This window comes from Homo sapiens, chromosome 3 (assembly GCF_000001405.40).
Source record: "Homo sapiens chromosome 3, GRCh38.p14 Primary Assembly".
NCBI classification, from domain to species: Eukaryota; Metazoa; Chordata; class Mammalia; order Primates; family Hominidae; genus Homo; species Homo sapiens.
The window spans coordinates 185696492-185712313 of NC_000003.12; the positions used below are offsets into that span (position 1 = coordinate 185696492).

The following is a 15822-nucleotide window of genomic DNA, read 5'->3' on the forward strand; positions in this document are numbered from 1 at the left end:
TCTAGGAAGCTTATTTCAAAGAAATATGAACTTACTATTTCTCCCTGGAGTTGACCTAACCTATAAGAAATAACAGATAATATCTCTCTCCAAAACCCAAAAGGCTTCCTCACTTATTACCTTGTTCCACATTCTCCACTGTCCCATATTGAGCCAAAAGTCCATCCAACACCTAAAAGAGAAAGCTTCCATGTCAGAATGGGAAGGCAAGATCATATGTACAAAAAATACTACAGTGATATACCCCAGCAAACAAATTAAAGGAAAAAAAAGATGGTTATAGGAATAATCTAATTAAATTGATATCTCAGGTCTTCCATAAAAACAGTTAGAACTGAACAAATATATGGGACCTACATTGGCTTATTGGCTCCCAATTAATCTGTTCACTAAGGTTACACAGCAGAATTTCAGACTCTTAGTAACTGTTAACAATCACATTCGTCATGATGGTTGGAACACACTACTCTTACAATGAGAAGCAGAATAAAGTACAAGACTCACTCCACTTTCTTGAAATATTTAACAATTCTTTTACAAGGATCTCTTCATTTTACAAGGTAATAGGATGTGTATGTTTGAAATGTTCCATAATAATCAGGTTTTTTGTTTTGTTTTGTTTTGTTTGAGATGGAGTCTCCCTCTGTCACCCATGCTGGAGTGCAGTGGCACCATCTCGGCTCACAGCAACCTCCATCTCCTGGGTTCCAGTGCAGCCACTCTCCTGCCTCAGCCTCCCGAGTAGCTGGGACTACAGATGCCTGTCACCATGCCTGGCTAATTTTTGTATTTTTAGTAGAGACGTGGTTTCACCATGTTGGTCATGCTGGTCTCAAACTCCTGACCTCAAGTGATCCTCCTGCCTTGGCCTCCGAAGTGCTGGGATTTACAGGCGTGAGCCATCACGCCCAGGCAATAATCGTGTGTTTTTTTTTTTTAAAGTAATAAAAACATTAGATAAAACATTGTTTCCTTTAAGGCACGGTGTTTTCTTTGGGTGGGGAATAAAATATGAGGCAGTTTGTTTTTAAATCACAATAAGGCCACTCCTCATATTCTTACTTTATTTTAAGGTAGAAATCTTATAAGCTTTACAACTCTGAAAACATACCTTAACTGTCACAGCAACTAATTCAAAACAAACAAAAAATTCTGCTAAAACCAACAAAGACCTTTCTACTTTTGTTGCCTTTTCATTCACTTTTTTTTCCAAATTATAATCTGGAAAGATAAAAATCTTTTTAAAAATCATGAGATACAAGGCAGGTGGATTGCTTGAACCTAAGAGTTCGAGGCCAGCCTGGACAACATAGCAAAACCTCATCTCTAAAAAAATACAAAAATTAGCCGGGCATGGTGGCATGCATCGAGTCCCAGCTACTCAGGAGGCTGGGGTGGGAAGATGAGGTAGGAAGATCCCTGGACCCGGCTGCAGTGAGCCATGATTGGGCCACTGCACTCCAGCCTGGGTGACAAAGTGAGACACTGTCTCAAACATACAAACCAACAAACCATGAGATACAAATCACAACCAGGTATATATTTTGTTTCTTGGCTTATTTGCTGGTGCTTGGTAGCATGGTACTTGAAAAGACAGAACATGAGGGATCAAAGTACACATTCTATGAAAGAAACAAATACGACCCCAAACTCATTACAGATCACATACATTAGGGTACTGAAAAGAAAGAGGCAGGACCCAGAAGCTTTGTGGGAAACACTGAGGCCCTCTAATTCCTAAATGTAAAATGGAACTAAAGAAGGGAGAAATGTCTCATCAACCCATTAAAAATTGACACTGGCTTACCTCCCACTGCAGGTGAGGAGGGATGTTTCGAATCTGAATTTTCCTGCTCCTGTAAAGATAAAACCACAGACTATAACACTTTCTCCAGGACACAAACTACAGCAAATAATAAAAACCGGCTTAAACCCGTCATTTGAATTTGTTTTCTCACTGTGTTCACCATGGCATCAACAAAAAATTCCTACTGTGAATCATGAGCATAGTTTTTTTGTTGTTTTTTTTCGAGCCAGAGTCTCGCTCTGTCGCCAAGGCTGGAGTATAGGTGGTGCGGTCTCGGCTCACTGCAACCTCTGCCTCCCAGGTTCAAGCGATTCTCCTGCCTCAGCCTCCCAAATAGCTGGGATTTTTAAGACAGAGTCCTGCTCTGTCATCCAGGCTGGAGTGCAGTGGCACGATCTTGGCTCACTGCAACCTCTGCCTCCCGGGTTCAAGCGATTCTCCTGCTTCAGCCTCCCGAATAGCTGGGATTACAGGTGCCCACCACCACACCTAATTTTTGTGGGTTTTTTGTTGTTGTTTGTTTGTTTGTTTTTTAAGAAGGGGTCTCACTCTGTCATCCAGGCTGGAGTGCAGTGGTGTGACCTTGGCGCACTGCAACCTCTGCCTCCCAGGCTCAAGTGATTCTCCTGCCTCAGCCTCCCAAGTAGCTGGGATTACAGGCATGTGCCACCACACTTGGCTAATTTTTGCATTTTTAGTAGAGATGGGAGTTCAACATGTTGGCCAGGCTGGTCTCGAACTCCTGACCTCAAGTGATCCGCCTGCCTCGGCCTCCCAAAGTTTTGGGATTACAGGCGTGAGCCACCACACTGGCCTCATGAGCATGTTTTAAGGTTTTCAATTACTTTGGAAAAAAACAAAAAACAAATGAAAAACCCAAGAAATCCCAACAAGCTAAAATAATAATAATAATAATAATTTAAATACAGACTCATCTTTTCAATTTCCTACCAAAGTAGTTAGAATTTAAGTCATCATACAGATTCTATTTATACAATTATCCCCTTCTTCCTCAAAATATATTGGCCTGCAACTGACCTGACCCCAAAGTGTACCTAGGCTCAAACAGGACAGGTGAGGTCATATAGTGGGCTTCAACAAGATCAGATTTAGTTGCCCCCTTACCTAACAAGGCAAAATGCCATTTAAAAATATTTTTATTTCTGAATAGGTACTACAGTCCTAATTCAAAAGTTAAAACACTATAAAAAGTTATACTGTGAAAAGTCTCACCACCCCCTCTTTCACCAGAAATACTTTCTACATGTTATTTGCGTATCCTTCAGATTCTTTATGCAAATAATAGCAAATGTGAATATATATTCATATTTTCACCCTTTTCTTAGAGAAGTATCTGCATATTCTACACATTCTCTGCATCTTGCTTTTTTCACCTGACAGTCATATTCTTGAGATCTTCCTCAAGGTAGAGTTAGAGAGCTTCCTCACTCTATTTCATAACTACATAGGTATCCTGAAGTATATTTAATCCATCCCCTACTAATGGACATTTGGGCCTTTTCATTCAGAGGCTTTCCCCAAGACATCCTGCTGGTCTGAAAGCTTTGAATGACTTAGATTGTTTCTTGTTTTTACTTAAGCAATTAAAATTAGACAGAAAAAAGAACAGTATAAGTTATGTAATTTTTTTTTATCTTTGAGAACATGCTGGATATCCTGGAAATAAAGCATTTAAATGTTAGAGACGTTGTTTTAATAGAAGAGCTTGACACTGAAATCCTATAAATACTCATTTTGGGGGGTTGCCAGAAAAGAGATGTGGTGTACCACCTTGCGGGGTCAGAGGTACTAAACAGTGGCTATACACAGTCACATGTTTCTCCAGGGCTTTAATCTGGGCAACAGCCCCAGAGAGAAATGTTACAACTCAAGCAGAAAGAGAAAAGGAGAGACACACACACAGAGGTACAGAGATGGAAACAAATGGGGAAATAATGAATTAAATGAGGGGCTCTAGTTTTCTCAGCTCCTTTTTATGAAATGTCACAGGGGCAACCCCACCATTCTAGCTCCCATATACTACTTCAGTCTTGTCTATCTTTTTTTAAATATTAATGTATTCGTGCCTTACTAGGGCTGCTTTAATGACTATACAGAATCACTAATTGTGTATCAGGACGGAAAAAGAATCAAGAACTAATTTCTACCTCTATGCTGTGAAGGCTAATTCCCGACATGGCCTTTGGCAATAGTTCAGAATAAAACTGCCAGCACCATCCCATACAGTGGCTACATGGAAATTCTCTATGGAAGATGTCACCAAGCCTAACAGTCTGTAGAAAGGGCATCAGAATTCTCAAGAAAATAAAATATTTCTAAAGAAAAATATTTTTGTTATTTCCAAATACAAACATTGACTCCAACTGCTAACCAACAATTTACTGGTAGATATTCTATTGGAAGAAACTCACGAATGAGCACAGAGAGATGTGAACAAAGACAGCAACTGTAACATTATTTGTAACAGAGTGCATACAATCTAAATATTTACCAACGAGAGATGAATACATATATCATAATACAGCTGAATATAGAATATTATACAGCTCTTAAAAATGAAGTTGACAAGCATGCACTGTCATAGAAAACTCTCCAAGGTATGCTGTTACAAGAAAAGAGGTAATTACAGATTAAATTGATCCTGCTTTTAAAAAGCACAAAACCAAACTACCTGTTATTCAATGTGTATGTGTGTAAATGCACAGAAAAAGGCTGCACCAAGCAGATTTAGTTGGTAAAAGAATACTTTTAGCTACTAACTTTTTTATATTTTTTTAAATTATTAAATTTTTAATAGAGATGGGGTCTTGATATATTGCCTGCTGGTCTTGAACTCCTGGGCTCTAGTGATCCTCCCACGTTGGCCTCCCAAAGTGCTAAGATTAAAGGCATGAGCCACCATGCCCACCCCTTGTTTACTTTTTAAAATTGAGAATATATTCATGTCTTATCCTACAGGCTTTAAAAAACGAACAATGAAAACTTCTATTAGGGTTGCCTTAATATACAAGACTTATTTTTTTTAAAGTATACTGGAACCTGCTAAGTAAAAAAAAAAAAAAAAGAAAGAAAGAAAGAAAGAAGAAAAAACCAAGCCTCATTTTCTCCATAATTACACTAGGTATTCTTGAAATCTTATTTCTTATTCTTGAAATCTAATACAAGTAAAAGTCGTTTCTCATCCTCACTGCCACAGAACTATTAATGTATGTGGCAAACACTTCACGGTGCAAAAGTAGGAAAACTCCGCCCAATGCTGATTACCCCAAATACTAACTGAATGCATCTAAAACAATGGCATTTCCCTGTAATAGTTCAAGTAAACACTACACATAAGTTCAGTAACTGGGAATGTCCTGCTTTGTTAAGCCAGACACTTGGAGGAATAATCTCTTAAAAGCTGGACTGTCGCACCTCTGATCTCAGATCAGGATGGAAAGGAAGGAACTGAGAGCTAAAAAGAGAAATGGAGATCACTACGGTAGAACCAACTAACCTGGAGTTCAGCCGGTCATTTGGGAGACTATCCTGAGGGATTATCTTTTGGGGTCATGAGCAATTAGGATCTCTGAGATCTGCTGACTCCTGTGGCATCATCTGGACAGTATGCCTTCTCATCAGGGTACCCAGGAGGCCTGTCCCCTCCTTCCCCGGGAGGGACTCTGGCATGTCCTTCAAAACGCAGCTCACACATAATCCCTGCTGAGCTTTCCAGAATGTCTCCAGAAAGAACTGTTTCCTCTGCACTTTTCGGTTGTTCTGGTAGCTCACTCTTCGCCATAATTACTTATCTGCTAGTGCTGTGTCCCCTCAACCCCCGCGGTGATTTCATCAAGGACAGGTTCCTTGTTTACTATTCCACCATCTAGCACGGGGTCTCATACACAGGGGCTGAGAAGAGCACTCCTGCTGCTGGCTGCAGTCTGTTCATGATGAAGATCCTCCTGACCCCACCCAGGAAAACGAATTGTCTATTTTTTCTTTGCCAGGAAGTCAACAGGAGAGGGAAGGAGGTGTTCGTTTCCCTCCTTCCTTTAGACAAGAAAGGAAAGTATCTGGCTCAGTCTCAAATGAGAGTATCGATCTTTCTCCCTGAAACTGTGCCCTGCTTTAAAAAAACCAAACACACAGTAACTTAGGAAAGTGATTGGTAATAGGAAAATAATTCTTTGTCCTTTAAAATAATAATTTCACAGTTCCAATATGTTAAAGATGAAACCAAGCTTCTCTAATTACAGGTAAAAGGCATTTTTCATCCTCACTCACAGAGCCACAGAACTATTACAGCCGTCTCCCAGCTGGTCCCTCCATCTTTGGCCTGCACCTCCCCCTCTCCCATCCACTCCTCACCTGGCTGCCAGTCACTTTTTCCACACACGGAGAGGGCTACTCCTGCCTTCCTTGACTCCCTGCTGCTGCCTCCTCCCCATCTCTATCTTTAAACACTCCTTCACACCAAGCCCCTCCACCTGCAGTTCACAAGTGTGCCAGAATGAGCCTTCAACTCCCTCAGCTCACCCTCAAACAGAAGTAAAAAGAGCAGCAGGAACATGTCTTTATTTCACCTTCATTTTAACTGGAAGCAGAATAAGACCTGAAGTCAAGCGAAGGGTGCTCTTTAATACAAATATATAGGCTCTTTCCCTGTGGCTTTCGGATTCAGGAAGTTAGAACTTCCCACTCTCAAATTCAAGTAAACTAAGTGTGTGGGAAAGGGCCACCTACCAGGAAACGAGTAATGCAGCCCTGGAGCCACCCTGCTTTGCTAGGGAACTGGCTACCTTCACCGATTCTGGACTCTGGTCAATTGATTATAGCACACATGTGTGGACTATCAAACTGTAAAGAACTACAGAATAAAATATATGTAATCCCAGCTCATCTAACTAATTTATAGTTGACGGGTTCCAAGGACTTTCAACATATAAATGCCTCAGCATACATTTTATAATCTGTTATATTTATAATACGTTATCTTTGGCTGTAGATACCCAGAGGTAACAGAAGGTTCCAACTGAGTGAATTTCAGATAAGCTAGATGTCCATTGTTATGAATTTCAAGGGCCTGGCAGAAATTATTTAGTTACGGTAGAATTTGTTGCTTAAAGTAAGGAGGCAATCAGCTGGGGAAATAAAATCATATTTAACTATTGAGGAACCTCGTGAAACTGAAGAACCATTTCATCTGTATTATTAAAAAAAAAAGTTGGGAGGCTGAGGCAGATGGATCACTTGAGGTCAGGAGTTCGAGACCAGCCTGGCCAACATGGTGAAACCCTATCTCTATCAAAAACATAAAAATTAGCCGGGCATGGTGGATGGTGTGCACCTATTGTCCCAGTTACTCAGGAGGCTGAAGCAGGAGAATCACTTGAACCTGGGAGGTGGAGGCTGCAGTGAGCCGAGACTGAGCCACTGCACTCCAGCCTGGGGGACAAGAGAGAAACTGTCTCAAAAGAAAGAAAGAAAGAGAGAAAGAAAGAAAGCAAAACACCTGCTTTGGTGTGAGGAGGATAATGCCATAGTTTTCAGGCATATGGTCTATTAGCCACAAGTCTATCAGCTACCTTGAGAACTCTAAACCAAGCCTTGGTTATGCTGTGGGTCTGACTAGAGAACAAATTAACATGAATTGTGAGAACCCAGCTTGTAGGATTCCAGCTTCCATTGGAGAATTAGGCCAACTAGGAACTGGAGGATTCCCAGGTAACTTTTGGGCAAGAGAGGCAACATAGAGGGCCTTGTGAGAGCGTCCTTTGGGGCTCCATGCGGGATTCTACCCAAATACGTCCCATCTGTTTCCACAACATTTCTGAGCTCCATCAGATGATAAAAGGGATTTCCTCATGTGCATTACCTGTAAAGAGAGGCAGGTATGCTAACCGGCCCCGAGCTGGGACAGAAACCACCAGCGCTCCCAGCCCTCCTCCCCTTTAGCGCTGCAGTCAGATTCCAGTCTATTGCACGCGCTCATTAGTGTGTCTTTCCTATTCCTCATTAGTTTGAAAGTTCCCCTAAAAACTTCTGGTCACTCTGTACAAGGGACATCCTGTGCTAAACTGAACTAGGACCTAGGGCTGCTCAAGGAAGCAAATAAATCACCAGTGATAGCCAAGTCCAACCCTCTACCCAACTGTCTCTTTTTTTTGAGACACGGTCTTGCTCTGTCACCCATGCTGCAGTGCAGTGGCGTGATCTCAGCTCACTGCAGCCTTGACCTCCCCGGCCCAAGTGACCCTCCCACCTCAGCTTCCTGAGCAGCTGGGGCTACAGGCCCAAGCCACCATGCCCAGCTATTTTTTGTAGTTTTTGTAGAGATGGGGTTTTGACATATTGCCTAGGCTGGTTTTGAATTCCTGGGCTCAAGCAATCAGCCCACCTTGTCCTCCCAAAGTGCTGGGATTACAGGCATGAGCCACCACGCCAGCCCAACTGTCTCTTAAAGTTCTCTCTTTCTCTCAAACCCAGACACCACACGGGAGGATCACAGAGACTGATTAAGAGTCAATGAAAAAAAATTGTTTAGTCACTTTCTTTGTTGCAAAATGACTAAGAACAATTGCCTCCGCCTCTATGGAATCCAAAATAAAATAAATGCATTAGGAAACGAAATGTGTTCAACATAAATAAACTGTTGAAAATGAACACAATGAACAAAAAGCAGTTTGGGGTATTTTTTAAGAGAAAAAACAAATGATAAGCACAAATCCCTATGAATATTGGTAGTGTTATGAGCCAAATCATAAGAGGATTAAATTAAATACTGTGGTGACCTGCTGCAAAGGGCTCCCCCGCAAGACGCAGTCTTGCTCTGTTGCCCAGGCTAGAGTGCAGTGGTGCGATCTTGGCTCACTGCAACCTCCGCCTCCCAGGTTCAAGTGATTTTCCTGCCTCAGCCTCCTGAGTAGCTGGGACTACAGGTGCGTACCACCACACCTGGCTAATTTTTGTATTTTTAGTAGAGACAGGGTTTCACCATGTTGGCCAGGGTGGTCTCGATCTCCTGACCTCGTGATCCGCCTGCCTCAGCTTCCCAAAGTGCTGGGATTACAGGCATGAGCCACTGTGCCCAGCCCTGCAAAGGGTTTTGAGCCAGGAGAACTGCAGTTATGAACCCAGTAACTTCCCTGGCTCTATAAACTCATGTTCACAAAACCATAAGCCCCAGAACAGCCCTCATAACTCATGCTTCCTGGGCAATTCAGAGACAGAAACTCATGGAAGTTCACTGCTTGAATGAAACAGGAAAAAAAAAAAATCACTTAATATGATGTATCTTGGTCTGTTTGGACTACTATAACAAAACTCCATAGACTGAGGTTATAAACAGAAATTTATTTCTCACAGTTCTGGAGGCTGGGAAGTCCAAGATCAAGGCACCAGCAGATTTGCTGTCTGCTGAGGGTCTGTTCCTCATAGAAGGCACTGTCTAGCTGTGTCTCTGGATGGAGGAAGGACTAGATATCTCTCTGGGGTCTATTTTATAGAGGTACTAATCCCCTTCATGAGGGTTCCACCTTATGATCTAATCAACTCTCCAAGGCCCCTAAATATCACCACCTTGGGGGTAAGGATTTCAACATAAGAATTTGGGGGAGACACAAACTTTTAGACCACAGCAAAAAGCAATAGTCTGAGATTAATTCATTTATCTCCCCACAGCCCTCTCAGAGCCTACTAGCTCACAAAAAGACCTAACACAATTCTAGATTTCTCTTTTGAGGAAGCCATCAAAGATTCTTAATTGTTTCCTGTTGAAAGGAGTGGAGCCGGACGTCGTGGCTCACACTTGTAATCCCAGCATTTGGGGAGGCCAAGGTGGGAGGATGGCTTGAGTCCAGGAGTTTGGCACCATCCTGGGCAACATGGCAAGACCTCATCTCTACAAAAAGAGATGGTGGATAATTCCATAATACTATTCATTTTTTAATTATTAGCCAGGTGTGGTAGCACATGCCTGTAGTCCTAGCTACTTGGGAGGCTGAGGTGTGAGGATCACTTGAGCCTGGGAGGTCAAGGCTGCTGAAAGCTGTGACTGTGCCACTGCACTCAAGCCTGGGCAACCGAGTACCGAGTGAGACCCTCTCTCTCTAGCAAAAATAAAAAAGAAGTGGAAGGAGAAAAGTCAGTGAGTCAACGGATCATTAGATGATGTTTAGATGTCTGTGAGAAGACTGGTTTGACGGTTACTCTTGGACAAGATGGTGAAGGAATTCCTCTATTGGGTTAGAGTAGAACTTGCATGAAATGACCATTATGTTTCATTCCACCTTCAGGATTCTATAAATCTTTTGGACAGAATTGTAACAGGAAGGTTAAAACCATTTCCCATTAAAAAGAAATTAGCATGCTTGTTTACAGATTGAAACCATCACGCACTGTTCTAGTGAAATAGATTATCAGATTTCTCAGAGATTCCTTCTTTTTTTTTTTTTTTTGAGACAAGGTCTCACTCCAGTCACCCAGGCTGGAGTGCAATGGTGTGATCTTGGCTTACTGCAGCCTTGGTGTCCTGGGCTCTGGTGATTCTTCCACCTCAGCCTCCCGAGTAGCTGGGATGACAGGAGCGCACCACCACGCCTGGCTATATTTTTATATTTTTATTAGAGACAGGGTTTCTCCATGTTGCCTAGGCTGATCTCAAACTCTTGGGCTCAAGAGATACACCTGCCTCAGTCTCCCAAGGTGCTGGGATTACAGGCATAAGCCACTGTGCCCAGAGATTCAGTATTTTAGTTCTTTAAAAAGGACATCACTTAGTCAGATGTGGTGGCACACGCCTGTAATCCCAGTTACTCGAGAGGCTGAGGCAGAAGAATTGCTTGAACCCAGGAGGTGGAGGCTGCGGTGAGCCAAGATCGCATCACTGCACTCCAGCCTGGCAACAAGAGTGAAACTCCATCTCAAAAAAAAAAAAGACATCACTATCTAAAATTCTGCTTTTTTAAATTTATATTCAGTGTGTAACGAAGGGGCTTTTTTTTTTTTTTTTTTTTTTTTTTTTTTGAGATGGAGTCTCACTCTGTCACCCAGGCTAGAGGGCACTGGCGCAATCTTGGCTAATCACAACTTCCCGCCTCCCAGGTTCAAGCTATTTTCCTGCCTCAGCCTCCTGAGTAGCTGGGACTACAGGCGCCCACTACCATGCCCGGCTAATTTTTGTATATTTAGTAGAGACGGGGTTTCACCAAGTTGGCCAGGATGTTCTCGAACTCCTGACTTTGTGATCCACCCTCCTTGGCTTCCCAAAGTGCTGGGATTACAGGCGTGAGCCACCGAAGAGCCTACTTTTACTGGAATAGTGGTGAATAGCTCAACTATGTGAACTGAAGGAAGACTAAAAATCTATATAATTATTCCAAGAAACATGATAATTTTTTGGGAGGAGGGGGTCAAGGACCTCTTTCGGAAATCAAACAAAAACAAAAACCCTAACACAAAAAAATGGTGATTATCCTTATCAAGGTTTGTATACAATTCCCTACGATAATACCATCTCTCCCTTCCACCATCCCTCTCCTCAACTCATTCTGTGCAATGTAGAGAAAGAAACGTAGTTTTAGCTCAAGTTTTACTAGAACTTCTCCAAGGGCTTCGCTGAACACTATCTTTTCCCCGTTTCTCAATTTATTTTATTTGATGAAGTCTAATGTTTCTGAGGTAAACCCAAAACATTCTTCACAGCGTGTTTGGCATGAAGGTTTTCCCAAATCACCATTACTACTGACATTCATGGATGCTAAGTATCTCATTTAAGCCTTACCCTTTTGAACTAGGTGTTGTTATTCCCATTTTTCAGAGAAATACACTGAGGAGCTGATGAGTCCCTTGTCTGAGTCTCACAGTTAGGGATCATGGTTAGGGAGTGGTATTTTTGACTTGTGGTCTCTATATATTTAAAGTTTTGCTCTTCAAATGTCACTGGAATTATTAATTCACCAAAAACAAAATTTACATTTCAGGCATGTATTTTAGTTCAATGAATTTTGGTCAAGATGTCCCCCTCCACTGGCAAACCTTAAGAAAACGTGCCTTCGGAAGGATGTCCAGCTTTTCCTTCTCAGCATCAACCGCAACGTAGAGTCACTGACCAAAAACATCTCCAGGAAGGGTTATTTTGGAAACTTCACTGTGATAGCTCACTCTTTGCTCCTCAAAAGGATTTACTTAAATATAAATGCCCTTTAGAGGGGTGATAAAGGTATTAACTGTAAACTCCTTCATGAATTAGCCGACTTCTGGTTGATGGTCAGGCTCCCCTGGCGCACGGCGGGGTGCAGCACATACATGGAAGGGCCTGAGGGTGGAATGGTGACACAAGAAATATCTGCTTATCCCTGGCTCCAATCAGGGCAGTGCCCAGCCTCATGGGGCCAGATCAAGTTTGAGAACCTTCCTCAAAGCATGGATTGCTCTACAGGGAAGGGCAGAGTGAATCCCAGACAGCTAGACAAAGTCCTCAGAAGAGCAAGAACATTCACGTGTGCTTGAGTACAAACATGCATTTGGATTCAGGAAGGTGAGACTTTGAGATGTAAGGCTGAGTTGTTATGAGCCAAACATCTGCATGCCTGCTTTCAGTTTTTCAAGGTCTAAACAGAGTAAAAACCAAAAGCATTTTCCTTAATGTTTTAATTCTGCTGTGATGAAGATTCCGGTTAACAAAACCAAATTGTGTTTTTAGAGAAGTGATTAGTCACCCTTACATGGTCCTCAACTCATTATCTGTAATTAAGACTAACGAGGGTAAAAACAAATATTTACACATCATCATTTGAGCTCAGATAAATAACATGTACAAACATGATACAACACAAGTTATAATCCAAGTATATAAATGTTTGCTTTGTGTGGCACATGGTAAATACAAAACCATCTTTGTAAAGGCCAAGAGGGTCACATGCCCAAACACCAACTGTGCCATCCTTTCAGCATCTTGTCAATTAGTTTCCAAAAAATTGTTCTCTTTGGTTCTCCAAACAGCACTTGAATCTGTCCCTTTCCTTCCTCCCCTACTACCTGTGTCTGTTTTTTCCTTCCTCTTCAGCCCAAGCAGTGTCTGGAGCACAGCATGTGCGCAGCAATCAGCAAGCTCCCCAGGGGCACTTGCTGCTGGGCGCTGGCTTCTTTTTCCTGGCCCACTCCATCCCACATTCTGTCTTTCGACTGTAAGAGGAACACGTGCTTACTAAAGACACTGGTCTTCAAACAAGCCAATTTCTTTCATTTCCAGTTTATGAGTGTTAAAGTGACAGCAGTTTACTTCTGAAAAGAAGAAACTATTCCCACCAGTTATAACAGATGTTGATCTTATTCATGATCGTCATGGTGATGAAGGAAAATTAAATTCATCTATAATATAGCCCTAAATCTACCAAGAGAGCAGGAAACACAGGAGAGGGTTGGCCAAATCACTTGCTCCTCCCTCAAAGAGGAACTCCTCCCTCTTTCCATGTAAATCAAAGAGTATCTCCCATTTCACACAAGAGAGCACCATCTCACCTAACTGAGGGTCAGGTGGAATGAACAATCCAAACCCCCTCTACCCAAATTTTTCGACTGGAGGTTAACAGACATTTCACCTGGATTCTGGAGAATGGGATGATCTCTAAGATTAAACTAAAAGCTTTTCCAAATTCATTCAATAAATGTTTACTAAGGACCCATTATAGGCTAAGCACTTATGTTAGGTGTTGGGGTACAGTAGTGAACAGAACAAAAATAGGACAATATTGATCTCAGCAATTCTGAGAACTTAATTTCAATAAAACAATAAAATTAGAGTTGGTTACTCAATCCAACTCCTTGCCTTTTCCTAGCTCGTAGTTTTAGATTTTTTTTTTTTTTTTTTTTTTTGCTAAAAGTGAACCTAATATCTTTAAATGCCTATTTCTGCACAGTACCTTTATAATGTAATAGCAGCTAGGAAATGGTATCATAGAGTCACTGTTTCCACAGACTGTGGGCAAGTTAAAGATGGGGTAGGTATTGTGTGCATAACAGCATGGGACACCTCCATTGCCCCAGAAGGGTGTCAGAACAGCTTTTCCCAACACGCAGAGTCTGCCCCTTGGCCCCTGAAGTTTCCTCTGTTACAGGAAGGGATATGCTGAAGAAAGTAAAAAAAGACTGGCCAGGAGCGATGGCTCACGCCTGTATTCCCAGCACTTTGGGAGGCCGAGGCGGGCGGATCACTTGAGATCAGGAATTCAAGACCAGCCTGGCCAACATGGTGAAACCCCGTCTCTACTAAAAATACAAAAATTAGCTGGGCGTGGTGGAGGGCGCCTGTAGTCCCAGCTACTTGGGAGGCTGAGGCACAAGAATCCCTTGAACCCAGGAGGCAGAGGTTGCAGTGAGCCAAGATCGCGCCACTCCACTCAAGCCTGGGCAATAGAGCGAGACTCAGTCTCAAAATAAAAAAAAAAGAACAAAACAAAAAACCTCGAGTGATTCTGGTTACTTGCTCCAGAGAGGAGGAGGAAAAGGAAATTTTTTACGCTATAGGAAAAGTTATTTATCAACAAGGTGAGGGTAGCCAGAAAAATAGCTTCTTACATAATACCAATAAAAAAAAAAACCACTTCGTAGGATACAGTGAAAAACAAATCAGTGAACATCATCATAAAATGCTGAAGAATATTATTAGCTCTCAAACCTAATGTCACGTGATTTAAATACAATAAAAACTACTTTTTAAAACCTTGAATAGCCAACTTTAAAAACAGATGAACAAACTAGGGAAAAGGAGCATATAAATTATTCTTATTATTAAAAGAACTTATCATCTTATCAAGGATTCATCTGAGGATCCCTTTGAATCAGTTCTGTAAAGGGGGAAAATTAGGGCAGAGATAACTTTAAATATGCAAATTTGATTTATAACCAATTTTGGGAGACTAGACTTTTGCACAAATAATTGTTCCAGTGGTGCTGATAGAAATCCAAGATTTCTGACCTGTATCTTTCCTGAACTATGCAAATCCTATTCCTATCCCTGCACACCCACAGCTTCTAGGCTAGTGACATGTGCACCGCAGTCTCTCAGTGAACCTGATGAATGAATGAACATGACAGGGTTAACATCTCTGGTGCTTAAACACAGAATTCCTTCCAGCGGCTGATTCACACTATCTTCTGAGTTCTGTGTCCTACAAAGACAATGAACAGCATCTGTCTCGGTTCCTGAGTTTTCATCACTTCCTGAGTTTTCATCGCTTCCTCTCAAGACAGCACCATTAGCTGAGCAGGCTCCAGCAGGACCCACCAGCAGAGAGGTGCACATGGGAGTCAATACCTGAAGTGAATAACGGTGAACGACCTACCTGGCTCAGCAGGTGGCCACAGGCAGTCCCCGCTACCACAGCTTCAAATTCCTTTTCCTACCTCTTTTTCCTTCCCTGGACGCAGCCCAGGAGTGCCTCCTACTTTCAGGACCTTTCCTTGCCTAGAGCCTTGTCCTTAGCAGCATGATTGAGAGAAGGAAGAGAGCTGAGTAGGTGCCCTCTCCTTTGCTGTTCACAGGGTCCCAGTCACCATGGTAGATAAGCTCCTGCCCTCTCCTCTCACTTGGCTTTCATCAAGCCCCAGGATTATGAGAAAGTACTCCACAAACTGCAAACTCTACAAACACCAAACTCCCCTTTCCCAGCTTTGGTCCTGATGTGCTCAGGAGAGTTGGTGCCTGGTTTTCCCATGAAATGTGAATGAATCTGGCAACTAATTAGAAGGCATGACCTGGAGCCAGCACTGAATCAGGAGAGAAACTATTAAAGTTATACAGAGTCACCTGTAGATTCAGCTAAAGACCTAGTTCAGGATGGTTTCAGAAGCTGAGAAGTGCAACTGTCAAACCAACAGATTATGCTTATTTTTTATTTAATAGCACCCTGATTACCATACTTACTAAGAATACCTTTTTTCCTTGGTGTGAAATGTAAAATTTGCAATAATCAATCATAAATACTTATGAAAATGCAAACATTTTTATTTAC

The 15822-nt window shown here is 42.1% G+C and overlaps 1 protein-coding gene across 34 annotated transcripts in view; it reads right to left on the minus strand.

The window, feature by feature from the left end:
* IGF2BP2 (insulin like growth factor 2 mRNA binding protein 2) overlaps window positions 1-15822 on the minus strand; it is a 181913-nt gene that overhangs the window by 53362 nt on the left and 112729 nt on the right. For 31 of the 34 annotated variants that reach the window (NR_138486.2, XR_007095624.1, XR_001739984.3 and 28 more), the window contains 2 exons: window positions 1808-1856; window positions 121-172 (listed from right to left, as the gene is read on the minus strand). Coding sequence is in view for 22 of the 34 variants with exons in the window: in XM_047447317.1 (XP_047303273.1) it covers window positions 121-172; window positions 1808-1856 (101 nt within the window). In the remaining 12 variants the exon portion in view is untranslated. Of the gene's footprint in view, window positions 1-120; window positions 173-1807; window positions 1857-5324; window positions 6497-15822 lie in introns of those variants that run through there. The other 3 variants (XM_047447326.1, XM_047447320.1, XM_047447328.1) reach the window with 2 other exon arrangements.